The 24,534-nt window shown below is 42.8% G+C and overlaps 1 protein-coding gene across 2 annotated transcripts in view, besides 8 other annotated features; it reads left to right on the top strand.

Annotated features, from left to right (window-relative positions):
- CCDC3 (coiled-coil domain containing 3) overlaps positions 1-24,534 on the top strand; it is a 203,365-nt gene that overhangs the window by 82,053 nt on the left and 96,778 nt on the right. Inside the window, exons 1-2 of one of the 2 annotated variants that reach the window (NM_031455.4) lie at positions 16,224-16,740; positions 19,425-19,599. In NM_031455.4, the coding sequence (NP_113643.1) occupies positions 16,367-16,740; positions 19,425-19,599 (549 nt within the window). In that variant the 5' untranslated portion in view covers positions 16,224-16,366. Of the gene's footprint in view, positions 1-16,223; positions 16,741-19,424; positions 19,600-24,534 lie in introns of those variants that run through there. The other variant, NM_001282658.2, reaches the window with a different exon arrangement.
- Positions 1,750-4,318: a meiotic recombination region, noted in NCBI's record as "HapMap YRI population data shows a slight increase in recombination rates within this region". NCBI's record gives the evidence for it as "EXISTENCE:nucleotide sequencing assay evidence [ECO:0000219][PMID:20981099]".
- Positions 2,536-4,318: a meiotic recombination region, noted in NCBI's record as "HapMap CEU population data shows a slight increase in recombination rates within this region". NCBI's record gives the evidence for it as "EXISTENCE:nucleotide sequencing assay evidence [ECO:0000219][PMID:20981099]".
- Positions 3,327-3,342: a nucleotide motif, noted in NCBI's record as "nucleotide motif; similarity to the predicted 16-mer PRDM9 C-type binding motif, CCNCNNTNNNCNTNNC".
- Positions 3,458-3,764: a mobile genetic element, noted in NCBI's record as "direction; forward".
- Positions 3,569-3,586: a nucleotide motif, noted in NCBI's record as "nucleotide motif; similarity to the predicted 16-mer PRDM9 C-type binding motif, CCNCNNTNNNCNTNNC".
- Positions 3,719-3,731: a non allelic homologous recombination region, noted in NCBI's record as "10p13 CCDC3 medial Alu-mediated NAHR sub-region, recombines with the 10p13 OPTN distal Alu-mediated NAHR sub-region b within the 10p13 OPTN distal Alu-mediated recombination region". NCBI's record gives the evidence for it as "EXISTENCE:nucleotide sequencing assay evidence [ECO:0000219][PMID:26740941]".
- Positions 16,094-16,594: an enhancer, noted in NCBI's record as "H3K4me1 hESC enhancer chr10:13043343-13043843 (GRCh37/hg19 assembly coordinates)". NCBI's record gives its function as "activates a minimal SCP1, AML or CMV promoter by ChIP-STARR-seq in primed H9 embryonic stem cells {active_cell/tissue: H9 hESC(primed)}" and the evidence as "EXISTENCE:reporter gene assay evidence [ECO:0000049][PMID:30033119]".
- Positions 16,595-17,095: an enhancer, noted in NCBI's record as "H3K4me1 hESC enhancer chr10:13042842-13043342 (GRCh37/hg19 assembly coordinates)". NCBI's record gives its function as "activates a minimal SCP1, AML or CMV promoter by ChIP-STARR-seq in primed H9 embryonic stem cells {active_cell/tissue: H9 hESC(primed)}" and the evidence as "EXISTENCE:reporter gene assay evidence [ECO:0000049][PMID:30033119]".

Here is a 24,534-nt window from a genome sequence, read left to right as displayed (position 1 = left end):
ATGGACATTTAATTGAAGGTGTTTCAGAGGATGTGGAATAAGATTTTGAAGCCATTCTTTTCCAAGGAAAGGTGATGTCTCCAAAGGCTAGATTTTTCTTCCTTCCTTATCAGTCACACCAATTTGAGTCCTGATGGATGTCAACCCCAATGGGATAGAGTCTGTTTCATTCATTGCTGTGGCCCCAGTGCCTGGAATAGTGCCCAACACATGGTAGTTGAAAGAAAAATCTTGAAAGTTATTTGTTGAAATGTAAATGTTGAATGATGAATATTGTCAAATGCTCAGGCTGTGCCTAGTATTTCCATTAGTATCTAAAAATCTACACAAGAAGATGTTGGGAAATTGGTTGGATGGACTTGAAATTTAAAAAAAGGCATTCCTTTTTTCTTTTCTTTTCTTTTCTTTTTTTTTTTTTTTGAGATGGAGTCTTGCTCTGTCATCCAGGCATGAGTGCAGTGGCGCAGTCTCAACTCACTGCAACCTCCACCTCCCGGGTTCAAGCAATTCTCCTGCCTCAGCCTCCCAAGTAGCTGAGACTACAGGCACCCGCCACCACACCTGGCTAATTTTTGTATTTTTAGTAGAGGTGAAGTTTTACCATGTTGGCCAGGCTAGTTGCAAACTCTTGATCTCAGGTGATCCGCCCACCTCGGCCTCCCAAAGTACTGGGATTACAGACGTGAGCCACCGTGCCTGGCCATAAAACAGGTATTCTTAGAACTTCATCTGGCTTACATGAAAAATCAGCTCGTCTCCCTGTTTCCACTTTGCCTACTGTGAAAAAGGCTTTGGCTGTGTCATCCTTATGACCGTAGAGCGAGGACACCAGCACATTGCTTAACAGAGTGCTATGATACCTCCCAAAGAGTAACACATTTGTACGAGGCGCTCCTCAACCTCAGACCTAGCTCATTCCTTTTGGAAATGCAGATGCTTAAACTGGCAGAGATCATGATGTCTAGAGTTCGGTCCCTTGTTTCTGTCCTCTCCCAACAGAACAGAATTGTCATGGACTGGGTCATTCGGGCTAAATATTAGTCCCCACACTGGATAAATGTGGAAGTATTATAGACAGTGCTTACATGTGCTAGGTCGCCTCTTGAAGATGTACCCTGTATTAATGTGCAGGGGAAGAAAAATGCATATTTTGTCTCAGCAGTTCCATAGCATTCCTTTTATAGAACCGGATTCCAACAGAGTTTCAACATAAAAGTTATCTCTTAGGAAGGAGGCCCCACTTGAGAGCCAGGGGACCACAGGCAGGGAGTCCTAACCCCAAGTTCCATTCCCAGCCCTTCACACTGCCTGTAGTTATGTGACCCCGGGGGAAGGGATTCAACCTCCGGGACTGCAGCTTTTTTATCTATGAAATAACATCGGCTTCCTGCCTCCCAAGGATACCAGAAGGAAGAATGAGTTAACATTTACGTTGTACATTAGGAGCCTCCAAGGAAGGCCCTGAACAAGTAGGAAATATGATATCATAGGAAGAATGTCTTTTATTTTTGAGTTGCTTGTCTCCGTTTAGGTTTCCTGGGCCCATTCCCTGTATACAGTATTCAAATGTAAAAGAAAGTTGTGTTTTTTTTTTTTTTTTTTCGCTTTACCAAAAAAGTCAGCAAAGGGGAAAAAGAAAATCTTGAGCTCAACTCAGGTGGGATAACTGCATCATGGGTGCTGGGGTTTTTATTTGTTTATTCATTTGTTAACTCTATGGGAGGGGAATTTTGAGAGGAGGTAACTCGGTTGCCACTGGGAGAAGTATCTGACTTTGGACCATAGGTAAACAGTAGCAGATAAGCTCTACTATTGTTTTATTAAAATTTTTTTAATGTTTAACTTTTTGTGGGTACATAGTAGGTGTATATATTTATGGATTACATGAGATATTTTGATATAGGCATGCAGTGTGTAATACTCACATCAGGATATATAGGGTATTCATTCCCTCAAGCATTTATCCTTTGTGTTTTGAATAATCCAGTTATACTCTTAGTTATTCTTAAATGAACAATTCAATTATTTTTTTACTACAGTCACCCTGTTTTGCTAGAAAATACTGTATCTTTTTTATTCTTTCTAACTAGTTTTTGTACCTATTAACCATCCCCTCTTTCACCGAACCTAGGCTCTCCTACTGAAGAGCAATGATAGGCACAGATGGAGTGGCCCAAGTTGGGGGTTCATCGGGATGGGCAGTTCCTGGAGGGAAGAAATTGTGTCACGTCTGTTTCTATCTCCAGAATCTTTCCAGTGTCTGATATACAGCTGCGAATGAGTTTGGGTTGATTTAATGAATGAGTTAATGGGTCCGAATTGCAGCTTTATTCTTTGCCAGCTATGTACCCCCTTTCCTTCTCTATAAATTGGGGGTCATAACACCACCTTTGCAAGGCAGTCGTAAGGGCTGCATGAGTGAAACATGTGGCATCCTCAGCACACTAACACACAGTCACAGTAACCGCTGTGATGACTGGCAGCTCTCCCATCGTCAATGCCAGAAGACCCAGGGTAGTGCTATGGCAAGAGCGGGGATGAATTCCCATCCTGGTCTCATTAGATATCAGCTCCCGGAGAGCAATGATCTAGCCCTTTCGGAATTTGATTCCTAATCTGTATAACAGGCTGATGGAATTTAATCTAATTATCAGCTCAATCTCAAGAATATAGTCTAGTAGGATAGAGGGTCTTACAGGTCCTTTTAAAATCTTTTACTGTAACTACATCAGGCAAATACATAAATCATATTTATGAAACAAAGTGAATGACCAATAGCTACCACTGAAGTCAACCCAGCACCCCAAGAACCCATCATGGGCCTACAGCTCATTCATACTCTTCTTTCACTTAACGTTATATCACATGCATGCCTTTTAGAATGTTTAAAAATATGTTTGTGGTAAAATATTCAAATATATGAATGTGCTACAATTTACAAATCACTCCCTGTTTGTTGGCAATTTCAGTTGTTCCTACATAACTATATTAAGTTCTTATGAACGAAGATTTGTTTTATTCTCCTGATATGACTGTTGATTCTTGCACAATTACCACACTGTTTCAAGAATTGTAGCTGCATAATATACTTTTTAAATATCTGTAAGAAGAAATTACTTATGCCAATCCTCTTTCAAAAAATTCATAGCTATTTCACTTATTTAGTAAATTTTCTTCTCACTTTTATTTTGAAATATCCTCAAACTTAAAAAAAGTTGCAAGCCCAGTACCAACAAACCGCTATAGGATACTCATCATCTGCAAATACTTTAGTGTGTATTTCCTACAATCAAGGGCATAGAAATGGAAATAGCTTTGATATAGTACCACCATTGACATTTCAGTTCCCGTTCACATCTTGCCACTTGTCTCAATGAAGTCACTTAGAGCAAAAGGATCTAATTCAGAATTGTGTGTTGCATTAGTCTTTTGCATGCCTTTCTCTCTTTCTTTTCTTTTTTTTTTCTTTTTTTTTTTTCTTTTTTTTGAGACAGAGTCTCACTCTGTCGCCCAGGCTGGAGTGCAGCGGCACGATCTTGGCTCACTGCAAGCTCCGACTCCTGGGTTCCCGCCATTCTCCTGCCTCAGCCTCCCAAGTAGCTGGGATTACAGGTGCCTGCCACCACGCCTGGCTAATTTTTTGTATTTTTAGTAGAGATGAGGTTTCATAGTAGCCAGGATGGTCTCAATCTCCTGACCTTGTGATCTGCCCGCCTCAGCCTCCCAAAGTGCTGGGATTATAGGCATGAGCCACTGCGCCCGGCTTTCTTTCCTTTTCTTTTTTTTGAGATGGAGTCCCACTTTGTCACCCAGGCTGGAGTGCAATGGCGTGATCTCGGCTCACTGCAATCTCTACCTCCCGGGTTCAAGTGAGTCTCCTGCCTCAGCATCCTGAGCAGCTGGGATTACAGGTGTGTGCCACCACACCTGGTTAATTTTTGTATTTTCAGTAGAGATGGGGTTTCGCCATGTTGGCCAGGCTGGTCTCAAGCTCCTGACCTCAAGTGATCCCCCTGCCTCGGCCTCCCAAAGCGCTGGGATTACAGGTGTGAGCCACATGCCCAGCGATGCATGTCTTTTTCATCTCCTTCAATCTGGAACAGCTACAGGGTCTTTTATTGATTTTTGTGAACTTGATACTTTTGAAGATTATAGGCCAGTTATTTTGTAGAATGTTCCTCAATTTGTGTTTATCTGATATTTCCTCATGTTTACATTCACATTTTGCATCATTGGCAGGAGTATCACAAGGTGATGCTGTGTTCTCGGTATGTTTTATCAGCTGGTGCAAGATTCCAGTTTGCTCCATTACCATGACATTTACTTGGATTACCATGGTATCTGCCAGGATTCTCCATCTGTAATGTTCTTTTTCTCTTTGTGATAAATAAATATTTTATTGGCAGCTATTTGTAACTATGTAAATATCTCTAAACTGTTCTAATTATTCATTCTTGTATTTACTATTGTTGATTCATGGTTTTCTATTTTATTCTATGGGTTATAATTCATTATTAATTTAAACACATCACTGGGAGCCCCTTTAAGGGTTTGTGTGTGTCTGTGTGAGATATTTCCCAGTTCTTTCAGCACTCCCTTTCTTTTTGGCACAAAATGTTTGTGGCTAATCAGAATTTTCATGTCCACTCATCATCTACTCTCTGAAATCATCTATTTCTCCAGAGTCCTGGTTCTTTTTAATGGAGAATGATATTTAGAAACCAAAATCTGGCTGCTGGGTGCTTGCATTGCTTTTGGAGTGTTACTGCTCCTGGACCTTCTTGGTCGACAGAGCTAGGAAATATGTGTGTGTGTCCCAAAAGACTTAGTGCAGTTTTAATACTTCTGAATGTTTTAATAACTTCTGAAGAATAAATGTGATAAATTTACCAGAAAAATTTTGGAAATTATTTATACTCCTTTACACTTAGTTTTGTGAATTTTGAATATAAAAATTTTAAGTTTTTCTTTATTTTTTCGGCAGCAATAGAAAAATATTTTTCTTTGTGACAGTTTATTAGAATATTTTAATTTTTAGGTTCAGGGTACACATGCAGGTTTGTTATATAGGTAAACTTGTGACTTGGGGATCTCGGGTACAAATTATTTTGTCACCAGGGTACTAAGCATAGTACTCAACAGTTTTTTTGTTTGTTTTGTTTTTTTTAGACAGAGTCTCACTCTGTCCCCCAGGCTGGAGTGCGGTGGTGCAATCTCAGCTCACTGCAACGTCTGCCTCCCGGGTTGAAGTGATTCTCCTGCCTCAGCCTCCCAAGTAGCTGGGACTACAACAGTTTTCTTTTTTTTCTTTTTTCTTTTTCTTAATGAACTTCTCCCTCCTCCCACCAGCAGTATATAAGCATTCATTCTCTTTTCTCTACAACCTTGCCAGCATCTGTTATATTTTGACTTTTTAAATAATAGCCATTCAGACTCGTGCGAGATGGTATAATGTTGTGGTTTTGATTTGCATTTCTCTAATGGTTAGTGATATTGAGCATTTTTTCAAATGCTTATTGGCTGCAAGTATGTCTTCTTTTGAAAAATATCTGTTCATTTCCTTTGCCCACTTTTTACTGGGGTTCTTGTTTGCTTGTAGGTTTAAAGTTCCTTGTAGATTCTGGATATTAGACCTTTATTAGATGTATAGTTTGTGAATATTTTCTCCCAATCTGTAGGTTTTTTGTTTACTCTGTTGATAGTTTCTTTTGCTTTGCAGAAGCTCTTTAGTTAGGTCTCATTTGTCAATTTTTGCTTTTGTTGCAATTGCTTTTGGCATGTTCGTCATGAAATCTTTGCCAGTTTCTATGTCCAAAATGGTATTTCCTAGGTTATCTTCCAGGGTTTTTATAGTTTTAGGTTTTATATTTAGGTCTTTAATCCATCTTGAGTTGATTTTTGTGTATGGCGTAAGGAAGGGGTCCAGTTTCAATCTTCCACGTATTGCTAGCCAGTTATCCCAGCACCATTTGTTGAATAGGGAGTCCTTTTCCCGTTGCTTGTTTTTGTCAGCTTTGTCAAAGATCAGATGGTTGTAGGTGTGTGCCTTTATTTCTAGGCTCACTATTCTGTTCCATTGGTGTATTTGTCTGTTTTTGTGCCACTACCATGCTGTTTTGATTACTGTAGCCTTATAGTACTGTTTGAAGTTGGGCAATGTGATTCCTCCAGCTGTGTTCTTGCTTAGGATTGCCTTGGTTATTTGGGCCCTTTTTTGGTTCCATATACATTTTGGAATAGTCTTTTCCTACTTATGTGAACAATGTCAGGGTAGTTTGATAGGAATAGCACTAAATCTATAAATTGCTTTGGGCATTATAGCATTTTATATAGGCATTTTAATGATATTGATTCTTTCTATCTATGAGCATGGAATATTTTTCCATTTGTTTGTATCATCTCTGATTTTTTTGAGCAGCCGTTTTGTAATTCTTATTGTAGAGATCTTTCACCTCCCTGGTTAGCTGTATTCCTAGGTATTGTATTCTTTTTGTAGCAATTCTGAATGGGATTGTGTTCCTGATTTGGCTCTCAGCTTGAGTGCTATTAGTGTATAGGAGTGCTACTGATTTTTGTACACTGATTTTGTACCTTAAAACTTTGCTGAAGTTGCTTATCAGCTCAAGAAGTTTTTGGGGAGAGACTATGAGGTTTTCTAGATATAGAATCATGTCTTCTGAAAACAGGGATAGTTTGATTTCTTCTCTTCCTATTTCGATGCCGCCTTTGTCACAGGTTTTTTTTTTTTTTTCTTCTGAGACAGAGTCTCACTCTGTCATTCAGACTGGAATGCAGTGGCGCCATCTCAACTCACTGCAACTTCTGCCTCCCAGGTTCAAGCAATTCTCCTGCCTCAGCCTCCTGAGTAGCTAGGATGACAGGTGTGCACCACCGCGGCCCAGCTAATTTTTGTATTTTTAGTAGAGACGGGGTTTCACCATGTTGGCCAGGCTGATCTCGAGCTCCTGACCTCATGATCCACCCACCTCGGCCTCGCAAAGTGCTGGGATTACAGGCGTGAGCCGCTGTGCCCGGCCCTTTGTGACCGTTTTATAGATGAGAATTTCTGAGAGCAAATGAATTGGTAGAGGAAATCCACTTGCTTGACTACTCTGTCACCTGATTCATGCATGTTTTGGTGTGTAGTAATAGTTCATTGCTTACTATTGATGAGTAGTGTTTAATTGCAGGCCACGGTTTATTTTTTCATGTACCTGTGGATGGACACTTGGGTTGTTTCTAGTTTGGGGCTACTACAAATAAAGCTGCTACCGCCATTCATATACGAGTCTTTATATGGGATATGCTTTAATTTTCTCTAGTATATCCCTAGGAGTGGAATGGCTTAATCATATGTTTAACTTTTTAAGCAGCTGTCAAGTTGTTTTCCAAAGTGCTTTTACCATTTACATTTCCACCAGCAGTACATGAGAGTTCCAGTTCCTTCATGTTCTTGACAACACTTGGTATGGTCATTATCTTTAATTTTTGCTATTCAAGTAGATGTGTAGGAGTATCTCATAATGGTTTTGAGTTTCCCTAGTGACTAATGACTTTGAGCGTTTTTTCATGCACTTATTTGCCATTCTTAGCTTCTTTGGTGAAGTGTTTTTTAAATCTTCTGCCCATTTTTTATATTGGGTTGTTTGTTTTCTCATCATTGAGTGTTTTTTGTTTTTTTGTTTTTTTGAAATGGAGTCTTGCTCTGTCACCCAGGCTGGAGTGCAGTGGCATGATCTTGGCTCACTCCAAACTCTACCTCCCAGGTTCAAGCGATTCTCTTGCTTCGGACTCCCTAGTAGCTGGGACTACAGGCACATGCCACCACACCCTGCTAATTTTTGTATTTTTAGTAGAGATAGGGTTTCACCACGTTGGCCAGGCTGGTCTCGAACTCCTGACCTCAGGTGATCCAACCGCCTCAGCCTCCCAAAGTGCTGGGATTACAGGCATGAGCCAGTGCACCCAGCTATATCATTCAGTTTTGAGAATTCTTTATGTATTCTGAATATGTATCCTTTATCAGATATATGATTTGCAAATATTTTCATCCAGTCTATGGCTTGATATTTCATTCTTTTATTAGATATTTTGATGATGTCTAAGTTTTGTCTAACTCAAGTTAGCAGAGGTTTCCTCCTAGATGTTTTATAGTTTTAGGTTTTATATTTCGAGTTAATTTTTGTGTACAGTGATAGGTATGGGCTGAAATATTTTTCCCTCAATTGTTCTAGCACCATTTGTTCAAAAGGTCGTTCTTTTTCCAATCAATTTCCAATGAATTATCTCTGCAGCTTTTTAATAATCAGTTATCTATATATTTATGGGTTTATTTCTGGACTTCATTTTGTTCCTTTGACATAGGTATTTGTGTTTGCACCAAATCACACTTTATTGCTTACTATAGCTTTATAGTAGGTCTTGAAATCAGGTAATGTTAGCCTTCTGATTTTGGTCTTTATTTTCTAAGTTGTTTTTGGCTATTCTCAGTTCTCTACATTCCATATGGAATTTTGACTATGCTTATCAATTTTTATCAAAAAGTCCACTGGGATTTTTATTGAGTTTGCATTTAATTTGTAAATCAGTTTGGCTAGAATGAACATCTTAACAATATTGAGTCTCCCAACCTATGAAAAAAATATATATCTCCATTTTCAAAATATTCTTCAATTTCTCTCAGTAATGTTTTGTAGTTCTCAATGTATAAGTCTTTTACATATTTAATGAGATTTATTTCTAAGTATTTCATATATTTTGATGCCATTGTGAATGGTATTATTTTTAAAAATGTCAATTTCCAATTGTTGTTAGTAAAGAGAATACAATTGATTTTTGTATATTGATCTTGTATTCCACTTATTAAACTTGATTATGAATTCTAGTAGCTTTTTTGTAGATTCATTTGCATTTTCTAGACAGATGATCATGTCATGGGTAAATAGAATTTTACATCTTTTTTTCCAATCTGGATGCTTTTTATTTTATTTTATGGAATTATTGCACTAGAACCTCCAGTACTATGTTGAGTAGACGTGATGAAACTGAACATCCTTGTCTTGTTTCTGATCTTAAGGGAAAGCACTCAGTCTTTCACATTAAGTGAAAGGTTAGCAGTAGACTGCATAGATGCTTTTTATCAGGTTGAGAAAGTTCCCTTCTATTGCTAACTTACTGAGTTTTATCAAGAATTCTCTTTTTGTAAGCATATAACATATATTTCTAAGACTTGTGGGACAGATAAAAGTGTATATCCACAAATTCACATGCAACTATATTGATTTCTATATCTATTATTAAAATCTATGAATTCATGTTTCACCACCACAGGATCCATTGTAGTTTTCTTTCTTTCCATATATGTAACTCTCTTTTTTGATAGTGAGAAACTGGTTTCCATCCTCCTTAATAGATTTGCTTATTTGATCAACCTCTTGTGTGTAACTATTCTCCCATCACTACTCCCATCCCATAGCTCATGCCATGCCTTCCACATCACACTTGGAGTCTGGCATTCACCGCACTGCTGCTGCCTTCCCCAACATGGACATCCTCATTACCCTGCTTGGCCTCTGACTCCCTGGCTTGGGCTGCCCTTCTGCATGGACACTCATCTCACCCTAACCATGCTCTGATTCTCTGAACTGGGTCATGCCCTTTCACATGGAAGTCCCCTGTTCTTGCTCATGCACTGACATCCTTGTGGATGTTACCCCTATTGGCTTCTGAAACCCATGTTGGGCTGCATGCCTAGGAGGCCACTATTGCCTAGACACTGAGTCTCTGCAAATGCTGCCCTCCCACATGGTCAACCCCATAACAGGGTACCCTGTCATGGGGTTTTGGAGCCTGAGACCACATGACAGGCTCTTCTTTTCCAGGGACTCTCCTTAACCCTTCTTGGGCTCTCATATCCTATAGTGGGCCACTCCTCTGCATTGATGCCCTCACCCCTTGTGGTTCACACCTGCAGTAGGAAGCCCCAGACAGAAGCTCCTCCTATCTTGCATGTCTCTTCCATCTCTTATCCTGCCCCAGCTTGGAGACCTAACTTGTTTGGCCCCAGCTAAAGACTTTTAGAGTGGAGTTTTTCAGGAAGAGATAGAGAAGAAGAAAGAAGAAGAACTCACTCATTTATTTTTCATGAATAACTTAAAATATTTTTTACATAACTAAAATATTTTCCACTATTTTGTATTAGGATTTTAAAAAAATTATTTTGGGAAGAAAGGACATATTTGACCATACTTGGTCTATCTTTAAGAGAGGGTAGCTCCATTATTGCTTCAGAAGTGTCTTTTATAAGGCAATTGTAGTCATAATTAAGTTCAACTAGTGGTATAACCAAGGTAAAAGCTCAGCATGTTCCGGGAGACAGGTACACACTATAATCCAGGAGGAAATAGCCCAGACACTAAAGAAATTGCAAGACTGCCTATATATATCAGCAGACTCCAGGCAGAACCAAAGTGGGCAGAATATAATACTAGTTTTGGCAAAATTTATTGTTTTGATGCGTTTGAGAGTATAAATTTAATATACTTCTAGAGGTGACTCTAATAGCTTACTTGATTGGTTGACTACAATTTGAAGGAATTCCATGCTGGCTGAGATGCCAGAGCTTCCCTGAAACAATGTAAAGGAGGGAATCCAAAGGCTTAGGGAATTAGGAAGGTTGAACTGAATACTCGATGTGTGACCTGCACAGCCACCTGCCAACTACATTCCACAAGATGACCCAGAGGTATTTCCTTCACGACAGCAATGAGAAATATATTAATGAAGGAAGTACTGCATCCTTGAACATCTCTGTGGTTTCTCCTCTTTCTAGAAAAGTTATGACTCTAGTACAGGATGATGCCATCGAAAAGGGGTCAAACGGCAGCACTTAACTGCCAAAGGGAAGGTAAGTACCTCTACCGTAAAGGTCGGGAGGGGCATACTAGTAATCAGAATGTTTCGATTGGCAGAGATCTTTGACAGTGGATAGTTGATCATGATGTCTCTTGAAAGTAAATATGTGGGCAACCTGTGGGTGTAGTGCCTGATCTATGTAACAGCAAAAACTCTGGTAGCTGAAAACCTGACTTGAATTCCCACAGAGAGGAACTGAAGCCCCTTACCTAGCTTTTAGACATAAGTAAATTTATAGACACAGAGCCTTTTGACTGAAAGGTAAGCCAGGTGCCCTTGAGGAAGGACCCTGCACCATTGCCACATGCACACACCATAAATCCTCCTCTAAGACTTCTCCAAAGGGACCAAAGTTGACAACTGACAAACCCCCACATTTTCTCTCTGACCCATGGGTGATGGCTTTTATTGTTGGAAGGACTAAGCAGAAGCTCCTAGAACTTTCATTTCTACCAAGAGAATAAATCAGAAGCAATATTGCATCCCTGAGGGGATTGCAAAAATCCATGCTGCCATCAAAGACTTGAAAGAAGTGGCGATAGTTATCACATCTCCACTGAACTCATCAGTTGGGCTGTGCAAAAGTTGCATGGGTCTTGAAGAATGACTGAAGACTACTATGAACTTAATGAGGTGGTGGCTAAAATTCCAGCTGCTGTCCTAGATGTAGTATCTTTCCTGGAGCAAATTGATATGTCTCCCAGCATTTGCTTCGTAGCTACTGACCTGCCCTTTTCTCCTCACTGATTTGCAAGGATTGCCAGCAACGGTTTGCATTTACCTGTCAGGGCTAACAGTATACTTTCAGTTTTGCCTCAGGCTATGTCAATTCTCCTGCTCTCTATCACATTTATTCTGCAGAGATGTTGATTGTCTTGACGTTCCACAAAACATCACATTGGATTACCTCATGGATGACAGTATGATGAATGGATCTGATGTTCATGAAACACCATATACTTTAGAGGCCTTGGTAAGATATAAGGTGGGAGATAGGCCCCACAAAAATTCAGGGACCTGCCACCTCAGTATGGTTTCTGGGGGCTCAATTGTCACTCCTCCAAGGCAAAAGGAAAGTTGCTGGTCCTTGGATGATCTAAATGGGAAAAGAGGGAGAATGTATGTTCAGCCTTTTTGTATTTAGGAGGGAACATATGCCACATTTAAAAATGCTTTTTGAATTCATCTATAGAGTTATCTCTAAGGCTGCCAGTTTCAAGTGGTGTTGAGCAAGTTCTGAGAAGTCTCTGCAGCAAGTTCAGGCTGTGTACAAGTCACTGTATCACTTGAGCCTTATTATCTAGAAGGTCCAGTGATAAAGTATTTATGGCAAACAGGAATGTTGTATGGAGTCTTTAGAAAGCACCAGAAGGAAAATCACAGCACAAAACTCTGGGGTTTTAGTGCACATCTATGCCTTATTCTGGATATGGCTGTTTGCCTTTTGAAAAATAGCATCTCCCTTGCTACTAGGCTGTGGTAGAGATTGAATGCCTAACCATGGTATGCTGGGTGACTATGTAATCTGAACTTCTCATCATGAATTGGGTGTTGTATGACCCTCCTAGACATAAGGCCATGTGTGCGCAGCAGCAATCTACCATTAAATGGAAATGGTATCCAAGAGACTGGGATTGGGCAGGTCCAGATGGTGCAAGCAAGTTGCATGGGCAAGTGGCTTAGATTCCTTTGACTCTGAAGGTACGTTGCCTCTTCCACTCATATGGTTTATGGCCTCTTGAAGATACTCCAGTTGAATGAGGAAGAAATAACAAGACTGGTTTGAAGATTTTTCTGTATTACACACAGATATTACTCAGTTTCACTCATGGGTGATCCTGAAGGACACTGGTGAAGAAAAATTCTCCCAGTCGATAGAACTTTGAGCAGCAGATTTTGTTGTATGCTATGTCTAGACTAAGAGAGGGCTGGGAGTACACATGGACACTGATTCGTGGGCAGTTGCTAGTGGTTTGGTTGATGGTTAGGGACTTGAAAGAAATAGGATCAGAAGATTGATGACAAGGACATCTTGGGAAGAGGTGAATGAATGGACATCTTATAACGGTTACCAAGTGTGAAGATATTTGTGACCCATGTGAATGATGACCAAAGTGCATTCAGTGGAGGGGAAGTTCTTAGTGATTAGGTGGGCAATTGATGTACTCAGTGGGTGTCTGTCAGTCTCTTTTCTTGGCCACTCTACTGCTTACTCAATGAGCCCATAAACAGAGTGGCCATGGTGGCAGAAACAGAGGGTATTCATTGCCTCAACAATGTGGACTTCCTCTTACCACGGCTGGCCTAGCTAACACTACTACTACTGCTGAGAGCCTAATATGTCAACAATAGAGGCCAACATGGATCCCCTAATGTGGCCCCATTCACCTGGGGAACTAGTCAGCCACCTGGTGGCAGGTTGATTCCATCGGACCTTTTCCATCTTGGGGTGGGGGGTGGGGGTCAGAGATTTGTCCTCACTGAAATAGACACATTCTGGACACGGATATGCCTTCCCTGCCATAATGCTTCTGCCAGTAGCACCATCTATGGACTCATGGGGCACCTTATCCACCATCATGGAATTTCCCATAGTGATGTTTCTGATCAATGATTCCCACAGCATTGCTTCTTTCACAGCAATGAAGTGCAGCAGTGGTCTCAAGGCCATAGAATTAACTGGTTTTACCACATGTCCCATCACCTGGAAGCAACTGGACAAATTTTGAAGGATGTAACAGTTTAGTGAAGACTTAATTATAGTGTCAGTTGGGAGTCACCACACTGAAATGATGGAGTCCATCTTAAAGTGTACTTACTGTGTGTGCTTTGAAACAGAACATACATATACGGTACTATCCACCCCACAGCCAGGACATATAGGTCTCGGAATCAAGAGATGGAAGTGGCTCATGTCACTATTAAACCCAATAATTCACTCACAGAAGTTTTGTTTCCCCTCCTGGCTACCTTGAGCTCTGCTTGTTTGGAAGTCTTAGTCCCCAAAGAGGAACTGCTCACTACGGTACACTGCAATGGCTCAATCAGGAAGAGAAACCCAATCAGTGAGGCACTCTGCCAGATCTTACAGGGGAGAAAAGCATGACTGATGTGTCTGCTGAATCCATGAGGACGATTTCTTGCAGGTGCTCACTTCTGCAAAATACACTGTGGGAAGTATTGGAAGAGTTTTGATTCTGTCAAGTTTATACAACAAGAGAAAAAACAGCCATGTTTGCTGATTTTTATTTATTTGCTCACCTATGTGGAAAGAAAAGAGAGGGCCTTACAGTCTTTTGGGGTAGACAAATCTTTTCCAGGCCTTCAAGACACTTGAAGATGCAGTTAGTAAGAAAAACTTTCTTACTATCTTATCTGATGAGTTACAGTATAGGACTAAAATAGAGCAGGGATTCTGGGTCATACAAAATTAATGTTAGGTCAGTTGCACACTCCTTGAGCCATCATTGGTGACTCTGCTAAGGTTTTCTCTTAATTTGCTCTGTGTATATCCTGGTTAAAGGGCCGACCTGTGTCTTTAGAGCATTTCCTATATTTGGCCCTATTCTAGTGTTGTAGTTAAGTACATGGATCTGGAGTCTGATTGCTGGGAGCTGAATCCTAGCTTGGTCAACTTGTAGCTTTGTGATCTTTGGTGTCAATTAACTTCTCTGTGCCTGTTATCTGTAAAATGAGGATAATAGTTATATCTACTTCAGAATATTGTTTGGAGAATTTATTAAGATGACATATGTACAGTCCTTACAACAGTGATTGGCCCATGGTCAACAATGACTAAGGTTTAGCAATTCTTATTATAACTTGGCAGTGTGTGCTGTGAGTCTGCCTGCCAGGAATATAAACCATTTGGGATCCCTGCTCTCTTTCTCTAGCAAACCTGCAGAACACCTGCTAAATAGCTCATATAGACTGAATTATGTCTCCCCTCCCACCTCCAAATTCATATGTTGAAGTGCTAACTCCCTAATGTGACTGTATTTGGAAATAGGGTCTTCAGGCAGGTAATTAAATGAGGACATAAGGGTGGGGTGATAACCCCATAGGACTAGTGACCTTGTTAGAAGAGGAAGAGACCAGGGCTCACTCTTTCTCCATCACACACAGAGAGAAGGCCACGTGAGGACACAGTGAGAAGGTGGCCGTCTGTAAGCCAGGAAGAGAGGCCTCACCAGTAACCAACCCTAGCACTTTAATCTTGGACTTCCTGCCTCCAAAACTCTGAGAAAGTAAGGTCTGTTATTTAAGCCACCAGACTAGAGTATTTTATTATGGCAGCCCTGGGAGACTAATAGCATTATGAAATTGCATAATTTAAATATTCAGGGTGGATGTGGGGGCTCACGCCTGAAAGTTCAGCACTTTGGGAGGCTGAGGTGGGAGGATCGATTGAGCCCAGGAGTTTGAGACCAGCCTGAGCAACATAGCCTGTCTCTACTAAAAACAAAAAATTATCCGGGGTGGCAGTGTGCTTGTATTCCCAGCTACTTGGGAGACTGACCTGGGAGGATCACCTGAGCCCAGGGGAGGTCGAGGCTGCAGTGAGCCCTGATGGAGCCACTGTACTCCAGCCTGGGTGACAGATATAGACCTTGTCTCAAGAAAAAAACAAAAAACAAAACAAAAAACCTGTTGCCTTTAGAGATAAAGATGGAACTGTGGAGTCAGTATCCTCAAATTCACTCACTGATGTGAAAAGCTGTTTGGGATTTACTTCTGAATGTATTTCTCAGGTGTACAGTGTTTAGAAAATGGAATCAGGGATTATGGAAACCAAGAAAATCAGGGCCAAATGATTGCTTTTTGGAATCTTTTATCAAAGCTTTTCTAAGATCTTCATTAAATAACTAGCAAATCTGAGAGAGCACGAGATCTCAGCCCACACTGAATTTCCTAATCTCTGGGAATATAAAGTCAGATTTGGTTTCTATGTATTTTTACTCTGAAATGTAGAGAAAATGTAAAAACTTAGGCAGTAATCGTGCAAATTAAGAGTCATTCTTTAATGAATGCCTTGCGTTTGCAAACAGGCTTTACGCCTGGCAAGCTCGGACCACGTCCATCGTGGGGCGCCAGGAGATTGCTGGGCCACTGTCCCCAATTCAGGGCTGGGTCCCGGCGTCCCCGCGTTCTCCGAGTCCCTGGTCCCCGCCCCAGCCGGCGCCGGGACCCGCCCGACTCCCCGCCCCTCCCCCGCCCACGCCCCAGCCGCAGGGGGCAGGGCGGGAGGCGGGCGCCCGGCGCGTCCAGTCCCCGGGACCCTTTTAAAGCGTGGCGCGCCAGGGCCGGGCATGCCGAGCCCCGTGGCGGAGACAGCGGTGCGCTCAGCTCCCGGGAGCGGCCCGAGCAGCCGAGCGCCCAGGGCTGCCCTTCCCGGGCCGGCGGGCTCCCCGGGCTCCCCGCCGCCGCCCCGTGCGCCCCGGGAGGGCCCGGCATGCTGCGCCAGCTGCTGCTCGCCGCGCTCTGCCTGGCGGGTCCCCCAGCGCCCGCGCGCGCCTGCCAGCTGCCCTCCGAGTGGAGGCCCCTGAGCGAGGGCTGCCGCGCCGAGCTGGCCGAGACCATCGTGTACGCCAGGGTGCTGGCGCTGCACCCCGAGGCGCCCGGCCTCTACAACCACCTGCCCTGGCAGTACCACGCCGGCCAGGGGGGCCTCTTCTACTCGGCCGAGGTCGAGATGCTGTGCGACCAGGCGTGGGGCAGCATGCTGGAGGTGCCCGCCGGCTCCAGGCTCAACCTCACCGGCCTGGGCTACTTCTCGTGCCACTCCCACACCGTGGTCCAGGACTACTCCTATTTCTTCTTCCTCAGGTGAGCCCGGCGGCGCCGCCGCCACCTCTCTCTCTCTCTGCGCCACCTCCCGAGGTCGCCGTTACCTAGAGCCAGGCCGGTAACTCCCCGGGCAGCCTGTCGGTGTCAAGTGAGAATGCCCCTGGGGCGCCTACCCCTTGCCTTCTTGGATCTTTCTTGCTCCGTCTGACGTCTCTACAGACATCCTGACTACCCCTGGTTAAGGCGGTTTAAAAGACAGGGAAGGTTTCTGTGCCTTGTACACAGAAGAGCATTGCAGACAGAAGCTCAAAGCGCCCTCCAACAGTCCCTTTGACTTGGGTTTTTAAACTGGCCTCAGTGGGAGTAGATTGGGACGGTGAGAAAAACAATCTTTGAAATCAGTCTGTGGCTGGCATTTTGGCTCTGCCCTTCCTAACCGTGATTCTGAGCGCATTTCTTGACACCTTCTCAAGAACTTCCATAGCCTCACCTGTGTAAAGTGAGAGACAGGGCTGGTTGAGTGAGGAACGTAACTCATGCAAAGCACCTGGTGCAGGTTAGAAGTTGACCAGCTGTCCACTCTCTCCTCTTCCTCATTTGCTCAAATGCCAAGATGTGAATGGTGTGGAATGTAGCCCGGGATTGCTTCACTGTCTCATATCAGCTGCCAGGTTCTTTGAAATAGCAAAGGTTTACTAGGGCTTGGGGTTCTGCTGCTGGTAAAATCCTGGGTAGCAATGCTTTGAGGAGTGGAGAGGTGAACCAGGCCAGGAGGTCCTCTTTGATTATAGACCACTGGAATCTTCTGAAGTTCCATGAACTTCAGAACTTGGCCTGTGGTCAAGATGGAATGCATCTGCCTAAGAATTCAGTCAATTCTCATTGACTACTGAATTCTTCTGAAATTTGAATAGAGAGTGCCAGGTAGAACTCTAAATTCTTTGGTTAGCTTCAGTTGGAATTTGGAGAGTGATATAAAACAACTGAGAAAAACATCAAAATGGAATCTAACCTATCTATCAAGATAGTAAATTAATCCACTGTTGGGGTGATCGGTTGTAGTTCGTTTTCCCAGTCTGGGAAGTAGCACTGAGGATATTTGGAATGAGGCTGACGTGGGTCTGCAGATTCACTTTTAGCTCGCATTTCTCTGAGAAAGAAAACAGTTCTACAAAGTGGTGTTTGTAAGTGCATGGCAACACATGTTTTCCATATTGAAGCCAGAATATCTAAGTTTAAAAAACACGTCTTGCTTTGTGTTGGCTTGAGTGGTTCAGCTAGATTAAGTTTTTATATATATGTATGTATTTCCAGAGAAGTGTAGTTTCTAAATAAAGCCAGTGAGACTGAGAGAGTGCCCTTCTCGATACAGAGAAACTTAGGGTTTCATGTTTTTAATTAGGAAAGATACTGAGAAACCATCTATAAAACTATTCAAAACCAGAACTTTGTTCTCCAAAGGAAAAAGAGCCCAAGTGTTTGAGCAGGCTTTTTAAAGAAATTTTTATCATGAAATACAGTTTGTCCAATAGTTCCGTGGTGCTCAGCCAATTCTCATCTTTTTTGCTCTACCATGTTTACAAAAGTTAGGGCAGAAATACAAAGACAGTAGTCTGACATTTTCATTTCACAGGGCTGTCTTGCCTTGGAGTGTGTTAACAACTACACACAAATCATTCCTTCTCTGTTATTCTGGGACCCACTGAGATGAAACTGGACCTGTGGTCACTGTCAGGGGTGAGGGTGGCAACGGAGACTTGCTGGTGAGCCCTACGTGTTTTCTGTAGACTGGAGTGTAACTTTCATCTCTTTCTTTTTGTGACATTTTAAAGAATCATTCTAATTGATTAATGCTAGGCCTTTAAATGTGTTCACTAACATGCATACTGCATTTACTTTGTACCAAGTGCTTCATTTACTTAGGTTTTTGATGCAATGCTTATGACATCACCAGAAAAGTAGGTACTATTTTTTACTTATATATGTTCTTTTTTTGAGATGGCGTCTCACTCTTGTCACCCAGGCTGGAGTGCAATGGTGCAATCTCTGCTCACTGCATCCTCCGCCTCCTAGGTTCAAGTGATTCTCCTGCCTCAGCCTTCTGAGTAACTGGGATTACAGGTGTGTGCCACCGTGCCCAGCTAATTTTTGTATTTTTAGTAGAGACAGGGTTTCACTGTGTTGGCCAGGCTGGTCTCGAACTCCTGACCTTAGGTGATCCACCTGCCTTGGCCTCCCAAAGTGCTGGGGTTACAGGTGTGAGCCACCGCACCTAGCCAGTACTATATTCTTTTTGCAGATTAGAATACTGAAGCTTAGAGGAGTTAAGACATTTGTTTCATGTCATACAGAAGATAAATAGCAAAGACAGAACTTAAACATAGGTGATGACAGCTGGCCTTTTTTTCACCAGGAAATAAGGAACACTCTTTGAGAAGGAAGACCCCTTGGGGGACTTGGAAGACAACACAAATAGACAAACAGGCACCATACACATAGTTTTCTCCATACTTTGCTCAAACTCATCTTTTTGAAAACCTTAAGGATAGACTGATGTAGCGTGAGACAAAGAAATAATTAGAAGTAGTAACTCCTCTAATGAGAGCCATGCCAGACATTGATGTGAAATTGGCAAGCCCGTTGCAGTTGTCTGTGACTCTGGATTGGAGCTGGTACACCCTTGACTGTCTAGCCTACATGTCTGCCTTTTTTTCCTCCATTAGGATGGATGAAAATTATAACCTCTTGCCTCACGGAGTCAATTTCCAAGATGCCATCTTCCCAGACACTCAAGAGAACAGAAGGATGTTTTCTAGCCTTTTCCAGTTTTCAAACTGTTCGCAAGGGCAGCAGCTGGCGACTTTCTCCAGTGACTGGGAAATCCAGGAAGACAGTAGGGTAAGAATTGGCTAAATCCTGTGCCACAGCAAAACAATAGTATAGCTACACCTTGTGTGAATTTTGTGACCAAAGGAATCAAGAATACTCTTCCAAAAGCCCAGATCAGAGAGTATTAGCGTATGCCCTCTCTCTCTCCTGCTATCCCTCCTTACCTCCCAGCTGTTAAAAAAGACCATTCATAAACTTTGGATCCCTGAAGCTTTACTGTTGGATAAGGAGTTCTTCCCAAAGTATGAGAACAAGATGAGATGAAGATTGGCATGCTGAGCCTCAGTTTCCTCTTCTACAGAACAGGGACAATAGTAGCATCTATATCAGGCTTGTCCAACCTGCAGCCCAGGACAGTTTGAATGTGGCCCAACACAAATTTGTAAACTTTCTTAGAACATTACGAGATTTTTCTGCAATTTTTTTTTGCTTATCAGCTATCGTTAGTGTTAGTGTATTTTATGTGTGGCCCAAGACAATTCTTCTTCCAATGGGGCCCAAAAGATTGGACACCCCTGATCTATGTCAGAGGGCTAATGCAATATGATTTAAATATGTAAAAACTATAATTATGTAAATCCGTTAGCGTAATGCTTAAAAGAGTAAGTGCTCAATACATGTGAGCCGTTACGACTGTTCCTGACTGTGTATGATTGTCATGGACAGCACAGGGCCCTAAGAAATTGTCTTAGAGGAAAGGAAAAGTGCTGAGGGAAATGAAATGAAATTGCTATCATAGCTACCACTTCTGTGATTCTTAACTATAGTTGGTAAGACATAGAGGTGCAGGATGGCCAAGGTGGTTGCAAAATGTAAGGGTCGGGATCGTAAGGGTTGGGAATGAAAATATAAAAGAGTCTTCCGATCTGGGCCAAATGCCAGAGTTGGAGGAACATTTTGATGATCATCACTCTTCCAAAGCAATGGGCTTTGCCACAACCAAGTTGGGATGATAGTGGGGGCCAGGCCAGTCTAGGCCTCTGGGGCTGTGACCCATCTCTTCCGGTCCCCGATTGAAGACATTTTTAGGGCAATGTGACACACTGCTGGAGAGAGAGTTCTGATGTGGGTATCACATGGAATAAGGACTTTTTTTTTTTTTTTCCATTAACGAACCCATTTGCACATGTTAAGAGACTCCCTTCTTTCCACCCATCAAGAAGGGTTTGAGGGAAGTGTCTTTCTCTTGTCTGGTGGGATGGCCTAGGGTAGCTGCCTTGTTCTTCCGAATCCCCTTATTGTCTTTTTTATTTTGTTTTCCTTCCAACTTTTATTTTAGGTTCAGGGGGTACGTGTGTAGGTTTATGACGTGGGTAAATTGCGTGCCACTGGGGTTTGGTATACCAATCGTTTCGCACCCAGGTAGTGAGCACAGTACCTGAGAGGTAGTTTTTCCATCCTCACCCTCCTCCCACCCTCACGTAGGCCCCCGTGTCTATTGTTGCCATCTTTGTGTCCATGTGTACTCAATGTTTAGCTCCCATTATAAGTGAGAACATGCAGTGTTTGGGTTTCTGTTCCTGCGTTCATTTGCTTAGGATAATGGCCTCCAGCTGCATCCATGTCTGCAAAGGACAGGATTCAAACCCGCTTCAAAGGGAGATTCAAAGGGAGCTTCTCCCAGGGCTCCCTGGACCCTGGAGGCCTTCTTCATGCTCTTGCACAGAAGCTATTCCTGTGAAGGGCTGGTACGTCCAACTAAGGGAAAGGATTTCTTCTTCTTTGACATATGTCTGTAATCCCAGCACTTTGGGAGGCCGAGGTGGGGGGATCACCTGAGGTCAGGAGTTCAAGACCAGCCTGGCCAACATGGCGAAACCCTGTCTCTACTAAAAATACAAAAATTAGCTGGGCAGAGTGGTGCGTGCTTCTAATTCCAGCTACTCGGGAGGCTGAGGCAGGAAAATCGCTTGAACTCAGGAGGCGGAGGTTGCAGTGAGCCGAGATCACACCATTGCACTCCAGCCTGGGCGACAGAGTAAGACTCCATCTCAAAGAAACAAACAAACATACATTCCTCAGCTCTGCCCTACTGACAGCAGTCTAGACTTTTCTAACCCCTCCCTGATGGTTAGAAAGTTAGAACTTTCTGAACGCTTCTCATGTAGTTTGCTCCCAATGTGGTTCTAAGCACCTGTTTTTATTCTTCCTTTTCTCCTTCTTAATCATTACTGTTGCCTACTCCATATTGAGTTGGACCCAGCAAGTCTAAGCCTGAGCATCCCAAGCCCGAGTCATACTTAATTTCTTCCAAGCGAAGGCTTTTTAGGCTTGGCCCTTTTGTTCCCCATCTTGTGGGAGCTTTGTTTATATGACTATATAATAGATTTATGTCAAGAGATCAGATATTATTCTGATCTTTAATAGGTTAGCCCTTAAAATCTTAAGCTACATAACTTCTTAGCACTATGGTCACAATCTAGCTACTAACATTTTTCTGGAATTAGATTTTTCCATCATTTGGGAAAAACAAAGAACAATGGGACCGTGGAGAATTGTTTCAGCCTGAAGGCAGATCTATTTCTGTTGATCAGATGTTGATCTTGGGGGAGAATTCCTTTTCCCTTTCCCTTGAATCACCCTGGCCTCTTAGATAACAAAGTGTGGGAGCATTCCAGGCTCAGAGAAAAAGTGGAAACTTGAGGTGAGGAAGATCATTATTTCACTTTGCTGAGCTGCTGTGGAGCAGAATTTAGTTCAATCTGAGGGACTCTGCACGTTTCCAGACCTCTGCTTGTGCCGTTTTTACTCCCTACCCACTTTGAAAGGGACCACATCAAAGCTACATAAAATTAGCCCATTGTGGGCTGATTGCAGTGGCTCACGCCTGTATTCCCAGCACATTGGGAGGCCGAGGTCGGCGGATCACTTGAGGTCAGGAGTTTAAGACCGGCCTGGCCAACATGGTGAAACTCCATCTCTACTAAAAATACAAAAATTAGCTGAGGATGGTGGTACGCGCCTGTAATCCCAGCTACTTAGGATGTTGAGGCAGGAGAATCATTTGATCTTGGGAGGCAGAGGTTGCAATGAGCAGAGATCGTGCCACTGCACTCCAGTCTGGGCAGCAGACCAAGACTCTGTCTCAAAACAAAGCAAAACAAGAAAAATTAGCCCATTAGTTTAAAACTTAATTTGAAATTAAAATTACATTGACTTTTTAAAGTTTTCTGATGCTCCCTAAGATATTTTTACATACCCTGGAGTGATTAAAATAGTTGTGAATTATTGACTACTACTTGCTTCTTTTTTTTTTTTTTCTTTTGAGATGGAGTCTCACTCTGTAGACCAGGCTAGAGTGCAATGGCATGATCTCGGCTCACTGCAATCCCCACTTCCGAGGGTTCAAGTGATTCTCCTGCCTCAGCTTCCCAAGTAGTTGGGATTACAGGTATGTGCCATCACACCTGGCTAATTTTTGTATTTTTAGTAGAGAGGGGGTTTCACCATGTTGGCCTGGCTGGTCTTGAACTCCTGACCTCAGATGATCCACCTGCCTCAGCCTCCCAAAGTGCTGGGATTACAGGCGTGAGCCACCGTGCCTGGCCTACTTGCTGCTTTTTTCTTAAAAAAACCCAAAAACTTTAAGCGTTTCTTTTTCTGTGGGAAGGCAAGCATCAAATTATCCTACCCAGGATAAATACACCATGTTATGTCAGAAGCAGTCAACATTGTTCCTTAACCTTAGGGGAGGGGTCAGAATTGCTGTTATGATCACTCTTTTATTCCAGTAAGAATAGATGTTAGACTTTTGTTAATCAGAACACGCTAACACTCCGCATATTCTAAGAGCAGTTATGAAGGGCCTGGGACTTTGCTTAGGATACTTTCTTGTATTATGTGCCGATCTTCAATTACAGACCCTGCAGGCATCCCATGTGCTCCTGGACTTTCTAGGTGCTGGGTGCTGGGTGCTGGGTGTTTTTTTTTTTTGTTTTGTTTTGTTTTTGAGACGGAGTCTTGCTCTGTTGCCCAGGTTGGAGTGCAGTGATGCAATCTCGGCTTACTGCAGCCTCTGTCTCCCAGGTTCAAGTGATACTTCTACCTCAGCCTCCCAAGTAGCTGGGATTACAGGCACCCACCACCATGCCCAGCTAATTTTTGTATTTTTTGTAGAGATGGGGTTTCACCATGTTGGCCAGGCTGGTCTCGATCTCCCAGCCTCAAGTGACCCTCCTGCCTTGGCCTCCCAAAGTTCTGGGATTACAGGCGTGAGCCACCATGCCCCACCTCTAGATGCTGTTGATGCTGCTGTTCTTTAAGTTTCCATTCAGCTTGGACAGTGGATCTGGACTGTAGATATGAAGGGCACATTTCATTCTCTTCCCTGATAGTTCTCACTTTCTCTCTGTTGGAGGATCTGGGACTCTAGGGTCGATTTGGAGGGTAGGAGATGGAAGAGGGGGAAATCTTACGGAGGGAAACTTTTGCAAAGCATATGCAGGGTGACATTCAACTCAGTCCTTGGGAGCAAAGTCCTCCCACACTCTGGTTCCTTTCCAGCACCTCTCCATCTTCAAATATCCCACCCACGCATTAGTAAATAGCAACGGGATCTTTCTTTCAAAAGCTGCCAAGATGTCAGCAGTGTTAGTACGTGTTCACCGCCTCTCTGGTTCGGTGTCATGGTGTTAATAGGACTTGGGGGGATATCTTTGGCACGTTGGAACATCCACCAGATTTACTGGCAGATTTCTTTCCACACCAGCCAAGGACATTTTTCCTTCCTCATTTCTCTCTTGCTGGACAAGTGCAACAGTCAAAACAGAATTTGGATATTTTTCCCTCTCTGCCGTTACTGTCCCCTAGGACCAAGACCCAGACTGACCCATACTTATGTCAGTCTGTCATAAAATGTCATGGAATGGAAGGAAAATCTGTGGAGATCTTGCTATCATTTTCTTCTTTCTTCTTTTGGAGTTGGGAAGGATGATAGGGGTGTTA

This window comes from Homo sapiens, chromosome 10, assembly GCF_000001405.40.
Source record: "Homo sapiens chromosome 10, GRCh38.p14 Primary Assembly".
Lineage (NCBI taxonomy): Eukaryota > Metazoa > Chordata > Mammalia > Primates > Hominidae > Homo > Homo sapiens.
The sequence above is the reverse complement of the archived record's forward strand: the minus strand, read 5'-3'. Positions and strand labels throughout refer to the sequence as shown.